The 12,973-nt window shown below is 46.0% G+C and overlaps 1 annotated feature.

Moving 5' to 3' along the window:
* Nucleotides 9,017-9,116: a silencer, noted in NCBI's record as "silent region_8086". NCBI's record gives its function as "represses an Ori minimal core promoter by ATAC-STARR-seq in GM12878 lymphoblastoid cells {active_cell/tissue: GM12878}" and the evidence as "EXISTENCE:reporter gene assay evidence [ECO:0000049][PMID:35858748]".

Genomic DNA, 12,973 nt, shown 5'->3' with positions numbered 1-12,973 from the left:
TGTGATTGGGGGTGGGGAGGGGGGCTGTCTAGGAGGGTTGGTGTTTCCCCTTTCTCTCACATCTTTTTTGCTTCCTGCTTTTGAAGTTCCCCAAATTGTTGGTGTCTCCAAATTCCCAACCAGGAACTGATGCTTCTGCTCCCATCCGCCAGCCCGAGCTGCAGGAAGCTGGGGCCTTCCTCTGGGGCTCAGGTGCCAGGTTCTCCAGCCCGCCCATATTGACTCCTGTCATTCCCCAGGGGAGTAAATATAAGTCAAGCACCTGAAGCTCAGGGGGAGGGAAGCAGAGCTTTTTCTGCAGCAACTGGAGGAAGTTAAAATGAGTAAAGGAATTGATTTTCTTTTCTTTTTTCTTTTTTTTTTTTTTGAGATGGAGTCTTGCTCTGTTGCCAGGCTGGAGTGCAGTGGCACAATCTCGGCTCACTGCAACCTCCGCCTCCCGGGTTCAAGCGACTCTCCTGCCTCAGCCTCCCGAGTAGCTAGGATTACAAGCGCGCATCACCACACCCAGCTAATTTTTGTATTTTTAGTAGAGACGGGGTTTCACCACATTGGCCAGGATGGTCTTGATCTCCTGACCTCGTGATCCACCCACCTTGGCATCTCAAAGTGTTGGGATTACAGGCGTGAGCCACAGTGCCCAGCCAGTAATTGATTTTCTTTGAGTACCTACCATGAGAGTTAAGGAATTGATTTTCACTGAGCACCTACAATGTGAGGGCTTTGCTTATACAAAAAAAAAAAAAAAAAAAAAAAAGGCTCAGTGTTAGACACTTTGCCTTACATTAACCTGTTTAATACCAACAAGAACCGAGTGAGGCAGGTATTATTATACCCATTTCCAGCTGAAGAAACTGAATATCAGAAACCTTGAGTCACTTATCCAAGGTTCCCTTATGGCTGGTAAGTGGCAGAACCAGAATTCAAGATCACGTTTGATTCTGAAGGCCCTGCCTGGCTTCCCACAGGGAGTCACTTTTACATGCGTCTGACTCTTTTTTTTTTCTGGGTTGGTGCTGGGCTTGGACATTGAGTGGTGAGTAAGGTAGTTCCTGAGGTCAGGGAGCTGGCAGTCCAGACAGGGAGAGGGGCACAAAGCAGGAGCTGAGGCCATCAGTGCCTTCATGCAACACAGATTTATGGGGACAGACCAAGCACAGGTACCTTTCTAGGTGCTGGGGATTTAGGACTGAGTGAGCCTAAGTCTCCATGCCTGGCTGTATGTGCAGAAAGATAATAACCGAAATACATAACATTCATTATCAAATGGCGATGAGTGCTGTGGAGAAAAACAGAGCAAGGAGGAAAGAGGAGAGGGGTGTGGTGGGGGTGCACAGTCTCCTGATGTGGGGACACGGGTAGCCGGGGCATGAAGCCCACCCTCTTAGCCTCTGGGCCTCTCAGACTGGTGCCGGGGGCCTGTCCATGTTTGCCCTGTCCACTTGCCTGGTGAAAGGGGGGTCCGGGGTGGCGCTGCTGCAGGTGGTCTTGGCATGGGTGGGGCGCTGTCTCCGGTGGCCTGCCTTGGACCCTGCCATTTGGCATGTGGACCCTAAAGTCAAGGAGAGCTTTTCATGTTCATGCTGGTATTTGTGTACTGAATGAACTGTTTATCATTTTGTTTCCTTAAAGAAATTGTCAGTTTGTTAAAGTACATTTTAAATCTAATTTTTCCTTAAACTTCTTGTAAGTTCAGCTTATAAAAGTAGTTATTCTTTTTTTTTTCGAGACAGAGTCTCACTCTGTCACCCAGGCTGGAGTGCAATGGCATAACCTCAGCTCACTGCAACCTCCGCCTCCTGGGTTCAAGCGATTCTCCTGCCTCAGCCTTCAGAGTAGCTGGGACTACAGGCAAGTGCCACCACGCCAGGCTAACTTTTTGTATTTTTATTAGAGACTGGGTTTCACCATGTTGTCCAGGCTGGTCTCGAACTCCTGACCTCAGGGGATCCACCCATCTCGGCCTCCCAAAGTGCTGGGATTACAGGTGTGAGGCACCGTGCCTGGCCGTAATTATTCTTTTAATAAATTGTGCTAAATAAGAGCCACCGACTTTACCTTCTCACTGATTATTGCATAATAATGAAAGTCAAAGACACGAAACTCTCTTAAATAATCAGCTTCATTCACAATGCAGTTAAATGCCTAGAAACATTTTTAAACTGAGTTTACACATTTGGTGTATTTTAAGGATTTGATTTTAACAATCAAAAACTAAGTAAATAAGGCAAATTAATATTCATAAGGAATCTCAAGGACTCTTCAACATTCCAACATTGTTTACAAACCTAATCAAATTATTTCATACATTTCAACTGAAAAAGAAAGCACGAGTCTAAAATCAAGTACTTCATTTTGTATTTTAATTTGCTATCACAGGCTAATTTCAAATCTTTTAGTATGCTGAATTTTCTTACACATTATAATACCAAATATAGATTATCTTAAATTTGGCACAAATGTATTAATACTACATGTTGGATTTACTTTGTTGCCTATATATTTAGTTTCAAACCTTCCTAGGTCTGGAATACACTTTCTTGAGGGAAAAGCATTCGCATTCTGTATCCCCTGGGGTTGCCAGGCGTTGCCTGGGGCTGCTTGCTGGACAGAGTTCTGACACTGAATGTATGCGGTCTGGGCTGCTCGTCACTAGTATAATTTTCCTGGAGCCACAGGGAGAAGCTCTCTATCCCGTTCTAGTTGCTAAATCCATGCTCTCCAGATGGGATTGAACTCACAGCCCATATTTCTTGGGTTCTATATTTTTCCATATTCCATATATTTTTTTTTGGTTGACCTGAATAGTTGGAATACTGAACCACCACTATGGTTGCAACTAAGTTCCTTCACTTTCCTGCTGGGGTGAACACAGAATTCTTTTTTTTTTTAACATTTTATTATTATTATACTTTAAGTTTTAGGGTACATGTGCACAACATGCAGGTTTGTTACATGTGTATACATGTGCCATGTTGGTGTGCTGCACCCCTTAACTCGTCATTTAGCATTAGGTATATCTCCTAATGCTATCCCTCCCCCCTCCCCCCACCCCACAACAGTCCCCGGAGTGTGATGTTCCCCTTCCTGTGTCCATGTGTTCTCATTGTTCAATTCCCACCTATGAGTGAGAACATGCCGTGTTTGGTTTTTTGTACTTGCGATAGTTTGCTGAGAATGATGGTTTCCAGTTTCATCCATGTCCCTACAAAGGACATGAACTCATCATTTTTTATGGCTGCATAGTATTCCATGGTGTATATGTGCCACATTTTCTTAATCCAGTCTATCATTGTTGGACATTTAGGCTGGTTCCAAGTCTTTGCTATTGTGAATAATGCCGCTATAAACATACGTGTGCATGTGTCTTTATAGCAGCATGATTTATAGTCCTTTGGGTATATACCCAGTAATGGGATGGCTGGGTCAAATGGTATTTCTAGTTCTAGATCCCTGAGGAATCGCCACACTGACTTCCACAATGGTTGAACTAGTTTACAGTCCCACCAACAACACAGAATTCTTTACCATTTATTCAGTGTGAGCAGGATCCAACTCTACCAGGCATTTATGATTGACTTGTGTGGATGACCTTATGGGGGAAATGCATTCTTTTCAGCTCCTACAGTGGTCTCCACCTGTCCACCTCCTGGGTGGGTTCCTTTGGCTCAACCTTTTTCCTTCTTGTAGGGACCAGCCCCACAGGGTCTGTGGGTCTCTCCCCGTGTGCGGTGACAAGAGAGTGTAGAAATAAAGACACAAGACAAAGAGATAAAAGAAAAGACAGCTGGGCCCGGGGGACCACTACCACCAATGCGTGGAGACTGGTAGTGGCCCCGAATGTCTGGCTGCGCTGTTATTTATTGGATACGAAGCAAAAGGGGCAGGGTAAAGAGTATGAGTCATCTCCAATGATAGGTAAGGTCACGTGGGTCACGTGTCCACTGGACAGGGGGCCCTTCCCTGCCTGGCAGCCGAGGCAGAGAGGGAGAGGAGACAGAGAGAAAGACAGCTTATGCCATTATTTCTGCACGTCAGAGACTTTTAGTACTTTCACTAATTGACTACTGCTATCTAGAAGGCAGAGCCAGGTGTACAGGATGGAACATGAAGGCGGACTAGGAGCGTGACCACTGAAGCACAGCATCACAGGGAGACTCTGGTTAGGCCTCCGGATAACTGCGGGCGGGCCTGACTAATGTCAGGCCCTCCACAAGAGATGGAGGAGCAGAGTCTTCTCTAAACTCCCCCGGGGAAAGGGAGCCTCCCTTTCCCGGTCTGCTAAGTAGCGGGTGTTGTTCCTTGACACTTTTTGCTACCGCTAGACCACGGTCCGCCTGGCAACGGGTGTCTTCCCAGACGCTGGCATCACCGCTAGACCAAGGAACCCTCTGGTGGCCCTGTCTGGGCATAACAGAAGGCTTGCACTCTTATCTTCTGGTCACTTCTCACTGTGTCCCCTCAGCTCCTATCTCTGTATGGCCTGGTTTTTCCTAGGTTATGATTATAGAGCAAGGATTATTATAATATTGGAATAAAGAGTAATTGCTACAAACTAATGATTATTGATATTCATATATAATCATATCTAAGATCTATATCTGGTATAACTATTCTTGTTTTATATTTTATTATACTGGAACAGCTCGTGTCCTCGGTCTCTTGCCTCAGCGCCTGGGTGGCTTGCTGCCTACACTTCTGGGGTCGCACAGGACTTTCCCTTGGATCACTCACGCTTTGCTTTCACACTGCAAGGTTACAGGAACTCTTGAAGATCTCTTCCAGTCTTCCCAGAGACTGTGGGTTGCTGAGCAGGAACACCCTTCACCTTAGCTAGGGTTGGCTCTTTCAGGCTTTGTTTGAGCAAGGTAATTCTGAGGTCCTTGGCCCTCAGAGAACTCCAGTTAGGACACAACATTCCCTTTACCTATTTCTTTTTTTTCTTTTTTTTTTAGATGGAGTCTGGCTGTCACCCAGGCTGGAGTGCAGTGGCACAATCTCAGCTCACTACAACCTCCGCCTCCTGGGTTCAAGCAATCCTCCTGCCTCAGCCTCCCAAGTAGCTGAGACTACAGGCGTGCACCACCATGCCCAGCTAATTTTTGTATTTTTAGTAGAGAAGGGGTTTCACCATTTTGGCCAGGCTGGTCTCGAACTCCTGACCTCAAGTGATCCACCCACCTCAGCCTCCCAAAGTGCTGGGATTACAGGCGTGTGCCACGGACAAAGTTGTTAACGTGTAGTGTCTGGTTTCACTCTGAGATTCCTGGAAGCTAAAATGAAAAAGGAAACACAATTACGGGATGCTTATTATCAGAGGGGAAAAAACGCCCTGGCTTTATTTGGGGGAACTAAGAGAATATGAAGTGTGAATTTTTTTTTTTTTGAGCTGGAGTCTTGCTCTGTCGCCCAGGCTGGAGTGCGGTGGCACAATCTCGGCTCACTGCAAGCTCCGCCTCCTGGGTTCACGCCATTCTCCTGCCTCAGCCTCCCAAGTAGCTGGGACTACAGGCACCCACCACCACGCCCGGCTAATTTTTTGTTTTCATATTTTTAGTAGAGACGGGGTTTCACCATGTTAGCCAGGATGGTCTCGATCTCCTGACCTTGTGATCCGCCCGCCACCACGCCCGGCTAATTTTATTTTGTATTTTTAGTAGAGACGGGGTTTTGCTGTGTTAGCCAGGATGGTCTCGGAAGTGTGAGTGTTATGAGTTGCTGCTGATGCTTGGAGCAGTGAAGGCCCCTGATACTTTCTGATGAGCATGAGCTAATGAATGGTGTTGTGTTTGTTTCAGAAACTAGAGGCCAGTTTCTAGATGAAGGCATTGGAATAGGAAACAAAGGCTTCATACAGCTTGGAGAAATGTTTTCTTTGTATTTATGTATCTATGTATCTGTCTATGTATTTATTTATATCTTTTAGAGACAGGGTCTTGCTTTGTCACCCAGGCTGGAGTGCAGTGGTGCAATCACGGCTCACTGCGCCTTGACCTCCTAAGCTCGAATGAGATGTTTTTTGAGATAGAGTCTTGCTCTGTCACCAGGCTGGAGTGCAGTGGCACCATCTTGGCTCACTGCAAACTCTACCTCCCGGGTTCAAGCAATTCCTCTGCCTCAGTGTCTCGAGCAGCTGGGATTACAGGCACCTGCCACTACGCCTGGCTAATTTTTTTTTTTTTTCAGTAGAGATGGGTTCACCATGTTGGCCAGGCTGGTCTCAAACTCCTGACCTCAGGTGATCCGCCCACCTCGGCCTCCCAAAGTGTTGGGATTACAGGGATGAGCCACTGCGCCCGGCCTGTTCTCTGGATTTATGTGGCAATATAAGAGGGAGCTGGGGCAGCGACTTGTCCTCTATGACATTTTGCTCTTGTAGTTTGCAGCCAAGCTTGTAGCACTTCTGCCTTCTTTAGAGTGTGCCCTGCTAAGGGGAGCCACAGTACTGCAGAGGCCTCGGCTCACTCTGGACCTGGCATCTGAGGCACTTCTTGCAGACCTCAATACCATTGAACTTGGCACCCCAAATAGCCCTGTCCCCCGCTCACGCCACCTGAACAGGGTAGGGATATTTGTGGCATTCCCTGGGGGTCCTGTTTGTTCCACACATAGGGCTCCTTCTGCCTCCCTCCACAACAGAGTCCCGGGCTGTTCTGCCCTTCGCTCACCCTTATCCACACTGCACCTTGCAGAGATGCCTCAGAGTTTGTGGCATGTGAGGGAAATCTTTTCTTAATTTCCAATAGTTATATGAATATTTTCTCTATTGAATTATTACTACTGTAATAATAGGGAACATATTGGGAAGTTGTGTGGAGAGAATGTATTAGTCAGGGTTCTCTAGAGGGACATACTAATAGGATAGATGTATATATGAAAGGGAGTTTATCAAGGAGTATTGACTCACACGAACATAAAGAGAAGTCCCACAATAGGGTGTCTGCAAGCTGAGAAGCAAGGAAGCCAGTCTAAGTCCCCAAATCTCCAAAGTAGGGAAGCTGACAATGCAGCCTTCAGTCTTTGGCCGAAGGCCTGAGGGCCCCTGGCAAACCACTGGTCCAAGAGTCCAAAAGCTGAAGAACTTGGAGTCCGATGTTCCAGCACGGGGCACAGATGGAGGCCGGAAGACTCAGCCAGTCTAGTCCTTCCATGTTCCTCTGCCTACATTTATCCTACCTGAGATGGGAGCTGATTAGACAGTGCTCACCCAGGTTGAGGGCAGGCTGCCTCTCCCTGTCCACTGACTCAAATGTTAATCTCCTTTGGCAACACCCTCACAGACACACCCAGGAACAATACTTTGCATCCTTCAATCCAGTCAAGTTGACACTCAGTAGTAACCATCACAGGGAAATACACAGGCTCAGGTATTCATCCTGGACTGGATGACGCCCTCCTTGTCTTCCTCTTGCCTCTCTGGCTGCACCTTCCCCTTCTCCTTTCCAGGTCCATGTGGGTGTTTTTCAGGCTCTGTTCTAGACCCTTCTCTCCGCTTCCCTGGCTTTGATTGCCTTTGTTGGTTCCCAGTCTCCGGCCCATCTATGTCCAACTGCCTTCTAGCCAGCTCCACCCGAATGCACCAACAGCACAAGAAACCCATGTCCCAAACAAAACTCCGCGACTCCTTGCCCTGCTGGCAACCAGCTCTCCCACGGGCTCCTTGGCCGATGAGTGGCTTCACCAGCCACCTGCTTGTTTCACCCCGAAAACTGGCTCTCCCGGGTTCCCCTCTCCTCTGCTTCCCACAGCCGATGTTTACAATGGTTGCTGCTAAGTCCACGCCTCTCCTGTGGTTGGGCTTCCGAGGGTTCTTGCTAACATCCTTTAGAATACAGGGACAGGGGCTGAGTGCGGTGGCTCACGCCTGTAATCCCAGAACTTTGGGGGCCGAGGCAGGTGGATCACCTGAGGTCAAGAGTTCCAGACCAGCCTGGCCAACGTCGCCAAACCCCATCTCTACTAAAAATACAAAAATTAGCTGGGTGTGGTGGCAGGTGCCTGTAGTCCCAGCTACTTGGGAGGCTGAGGCAGGAGAATCGCTTGAACCTGGGAGGAGGAGGTTGCAGTCACCTGAGATCCTGCCACTGCATGCCAGCCTGGGCGACAGAGCGAGATTCCATCTTAAATAAATAAATAAAAATATAATACAGAGGCAGGAAAGTACAATTACTGGTCAGCTTTCCTCGAACTAGATCCCTCCCAATGCCAGGTGACCATTGGACAAAGTGGAGAGGGGATTTATTAATATTCTACTGCTTATTTCCCAAGATGAGGATTAGCTCTTAGCCACTGCTGTCTTCCAAATGCAGTTACATCAGCATCTTTAGTAAAAAAACGAAAATGAAACGTTCACATTACATGTCTATGTAAATGTTATGTCCTGCAGAACCTAGTACTCTATTGTCATAACATTTCTCTTCTTGCATAGTTTCTTTTGCTTTTACTGGAGATATGCCAGTTATTCTAATCTTGCAATGTTTTCCTTAGGGCAGTTTTCTATTTCTTAAAATAAAAACTCTCTAAAATAAGATTCTTCTTTCTCAGGAGGACTTCCTTTGTGGCGTTCTTAGCCACAGTCAGTGTCTTGAGTGTTAACTTAATTCGAATTATTTGCTAAGTGTTATTCTAGCAGACTTACAAATCCCAGTTATTCCATCATGCCCATAGGAGAAGAGGAAAGGGCCAGTGCCCCTCTTCTGATTTTTAAACCGGCCCTATAGTTCCACAGACAGTTTTGGATAAACATAGAACTTGACCCTTCTGCCGTTAAAGCTTGAAACTCATATATATATATATGTTTATTTTTTTATTTTTTGAGATGGAGTCTTGCTCTGTTGCCCAGTCTGCAGTAGGGTGGCGTGATCTTGGCTCACCACAACCTCTGCCTCCCAGGTTCAAGTGATTCTCCTGCCTCAGCCTCCCGAGTAGCTGGGATTACAGGCGCCCACCACCACGCTCGGCTAATCTTTGTATTTTTAGTAGAGACGGGGTTTCACCCTGTTGGTTAGGCTAGTCTTGAACTCCTGACCTCGTGATCCACCGGCCTTGGCCTCCCAAAGTGCTGGGATTACAGGTGTGGGCCACTGTGCCCGGACGAAACTTATATTTGTTTGATTTGAGTTCCTTCCTCAGGAAAGTACCTTCAGTCCTCTCAAAAACGTATAGTAGGTCAGGAGTTCAAGACCAGCCTGACCAACAAGGTAAAACCCTGTCTCTACTAAAAATACAAAATTACCCGGGCGTGGTGGCGGGTGCCTGTAATCCCAGCTACTCAGGAGGCTGAGGCAGGAGAATTGCTTGAACCCAGGAGGCAGAGGTTGTGGTGAGCTGAGATCGTGCCACTGCACTCCAGCCTGGGTGACAGAGTAAGACTCCGTCTCAGAAAAAAAAAAGAAATGTATGGAAGAACTGAAACTCACCAGATCACGCACCAAATGCCTCCTTGCACCTCCCTAGTTCCTGTTTTCTGACACATTGTTACATTTCTTCCCTGCTATATAACCCCTGGTTTTAGTCAGTCCAGGAGATGGATTTGAGACAGCTGCCATCTCTTTGGCTGCAGCACCTGATTTAAAGCCTTCTTCCTTGGCACTACTCATCATCTCAGTGATTGGCTTTCTGTGTGCAGCAAAGCCGCAGGACTTAGACTGAACTCCTGATGTTTCGCTAACAATTTCTTTTTTTTGAGACAGAGTCTGGCTCTTTTCTGCCAGGCTGGAGTGTAGTGGCGCGATCTCGGCTCACTGCAATCTCTGCCTCCCGGGTTCAAGTGATTCTCCTGCCTCAGCCTCCCGAGTAGCTGGGACTACAGACACCCGCTACCACGCCTGGCTAATTTTTGGTATTTCTAGTAGAGTCAGGGTTTCACCGTGTTAGCCAGGATGGTCTCGATCTCCTGACCTCGTGATCCGCCCACCTCTGCCTCCCAAAGTGTTGGGATTACAGGCGTGAGCCACCACGCCCGGCCGAAAGTCAGCAGGAATTATAAGTGCCCACCTAGGTTTCCACAGTACATGAGAGAACAAGATGGGGAGTTAGTAAACGTTCTCACTTTGACGGCTTATCATAGGAGAGTCTCTACTGCTTCCTTAAACTCATGTTCTTTTTTTTTTTTTTAAAGACCGAGTTTCGCTCTTGTTGCCCAAGCTGGAGTGCAATGGCGCAATCTTGGCTCACCGCAACCTCTGCCTCCCGGGTTCAAGCGATTCTCCTGGCTCAGCTTCCTGAGTAGCTGGGATTACAGGCACCCACCACCACACCCAGCTAATTTTGTATTTTTAGTAGAGACAGGATTTCTCCATGTTGGTCAGGCTGATCTTGAATTCCCCACCTCAGGTGATCTGCCCGCCTTGGCCTCCCAAAGTGCTGGGATTACAGGCGAGAGCCACCATGCCCAGACCTTAAACTCATGTTCTTTATGGTGACTTGCATTTCCAAGGCCAGGTTCTGGAATTTCACCAGTTTGCATTATAAGAAAAAAAGTCAGCCTGTAGGCAAAAAATACAGAAAAAGCTGAATAAGATTTTCTTTCCTAATAATGAAAAAGGCTTATACTGAGATGTTCTTCTACATGTGTTGTTTTTGGATAATTTCCTCACTTTCTGGGGTAATTCCTCACATGGGAGTAGGAGATAAATAGTCTGAGAACTGGAATATCTGACAGTTCTGTAGCCTCCCCTCTCGTGCCATGGATCATTTGAGTCTACAATTCTAGGTTGAAAAAAATTTTCCTTGGAAGTTTGAAGGCATCATCCTGTTGTCTCTTCGTGTTCAATATAACAGCTGAAAAATGAAATCCATTCTGATTCTTGTTTCTTTGTAGGTGATTTACTCCCACCCCTGGTAGTTTTTGGAATTTTCTGTTTATCCCTGGTATTCTGAAATTTCATGGTGACACGCTTTGGGTCATTTTTGAATGAATGTGCTCGGCTGGGCTATTACTAGAATACCTAAATCTGGAGACTTATCCTTTTTAATTCTAAGTACCAGCCTTGTATTCTTTCTTTCATCTTTTTCTTCCTTTTCTTCCTCTTATTTATCTTCTAGAACTTCTATTAATTGGATGTTGGTTCTTTGAACATATTGTTTGTGTTATTTGGGGAGGTTTTATGGGGCTAATAAAAAAAAGAACCCTATCTTTTCCTCTTAAGTTTGAAATCAATTGAGAGCCAAGACACAGTAGACAGATGAGCGGATATCAAAATGTTAGCATAATTACTGATAAGCAACAAGGAGGATTTGACTTAAAACCTTAGATCAAAAAACCTTGTAATTAGTTCATCCAATAATTAAGCAGATGTATCCACCCAGTCACAGGCAGAGGAGGGCAAAGCAGGAGCAGCTCTGTGCCGCCTGGCAGAGAGTAGAATACAAGGTGTGCTTCTTGTGGGCAGAAAGACACCAAAGGGAGCCCCCCCAAGGGGCGGAGCCAAGCATGCCAATCAGTCAGTTTCCTCCCCTGAGGAAGAGTGGGTTAAGAAGGGGAGTCTGGGCGGGGCGCGGTGGCTCATGCCTGTAATCCCAGCGCTTTGGGAGGCCGAAGCGTGCGGATCACTTGAGGTCAGGAGTTCGAGACGAGCCTGGCCAACATGGTGAAACCCCATCTCTGCTAAAAATACAAAAATTAGCTGGGTGTGGTGGTGAGTGCCTGTAATCCCAGCTACTCAGGCGGCTGAGGCAGAAGAATCACTTGAACCCGGGAGGCGGAGGTTGCAGTGAGCCGAGATCGCGGCCACCGCACTCTAGCCTGGGCAACAAGAAGGAAACTCTGTCTCAAAAAAAAAAAGAAAGAAAGAAAAAAAAGAGAGAAAGGGAGTCTGGAGATTGTCTAGTTTCCCTAGTGGGAAATATATTCAGTAGCATGAGACCAGAGAAAAAATAATTTCTCCCAATTTAACTTTTATCATTTAAAAAAAAAAAACCTATGTCTTTTTTTTTTCCTGGAAGATTTTCTAAATTTTATGTTTCAGAGCTTCTATTAATTTTTCTGGAGTTAACAACATGTATATATTTTTTAACTTTCAAAAGGTCTCGTTTTCTGAACAAGTAGAACATACAGGAAATTCTGGCTTATCAACAAAGTGAATTCAGGAAAGCCAATAGAAAAACTGGTAAAGGATATGAAAAGGCAATTCATGCAGGAGGAAACCCAAATGATTAATAAATCGATGAAGAAATGTTCAAACCCACTGTTAGCCAGAAATGCAAAATAAAAGAACAAGGATATGGCATCAGCTTGGCAACAATTGCGATGTTAATAATATCAAGCGACAAAGCCAAAAAGAGAACCCTCGTATACTGCTGGTGGGAGTGTGAACTGGCAGAGCCATTCTGGAAAACAGTCTGGCAGTCCTGAGTGGAATTAGGTATGGCAATACTCTGCGAATGAGCAATACCATTCGGGGATATAGTTTCCTTCCTTCCTTCCTTCCTTCCTTCCTTCCTTCCTTCCTTCCTTCCTTCCTTCCTTCCTTCCTCCCTCCTTTCCTTCGTTTCTCTTTTCTTTTCTTTCATTCCTTTTTTTTTTTTTTTTTTTTTTTTGAGAAAGGGTCTTGCTGTTGCCCAGGCTGGAATGCTGTGGTGCGATCATAGTTCACTGCAGCCTTGAACTCCTGGCCTCAAGTGATCCTCCCAACTCCAGCTTCCCAAGGTGTTGGGATTACAGGCCTGAGCCACCATACCTGGCCTGGATACAGTTTCAAGAGAAATTCTCACCTAGGTCCACATGGGAACACGATGAGGACATCAGTCGTCATGTTAATTGTGATAGTTGTTGGCAACAACCTGAGTTCATTATTAGGGGAAATAAACTGTGATGGATACACACCATTGAATACTGTGCAGCAGTTCATAGCAACAAACCAGATAAACAAATAGCAATGTAACAATCCATTGTAACAAATAGCAATACAAATAGCTCTAAAAAATTTCTTGTTGAGTGAAAAAGATCAGAAACAAATGAGATATATGAAAG

Source organism: Homo sapiens, chromosome 17, assembly GCF_000001405.40.
Source record: "Homo sapiens chromosome 17, GRCh38.p14 Primary Assembly".
Lineage (NCBI taxonomy): Eukaryota > Metazoa > Chordata > Mammalia > Primates > Hominidae > Homo > Homo sapiens.
The sequence above is the reverse complement of the archived record's forward strand: the minus strand, read 5'-3'. Positions and strand labels throughout refer to the sequence as shown.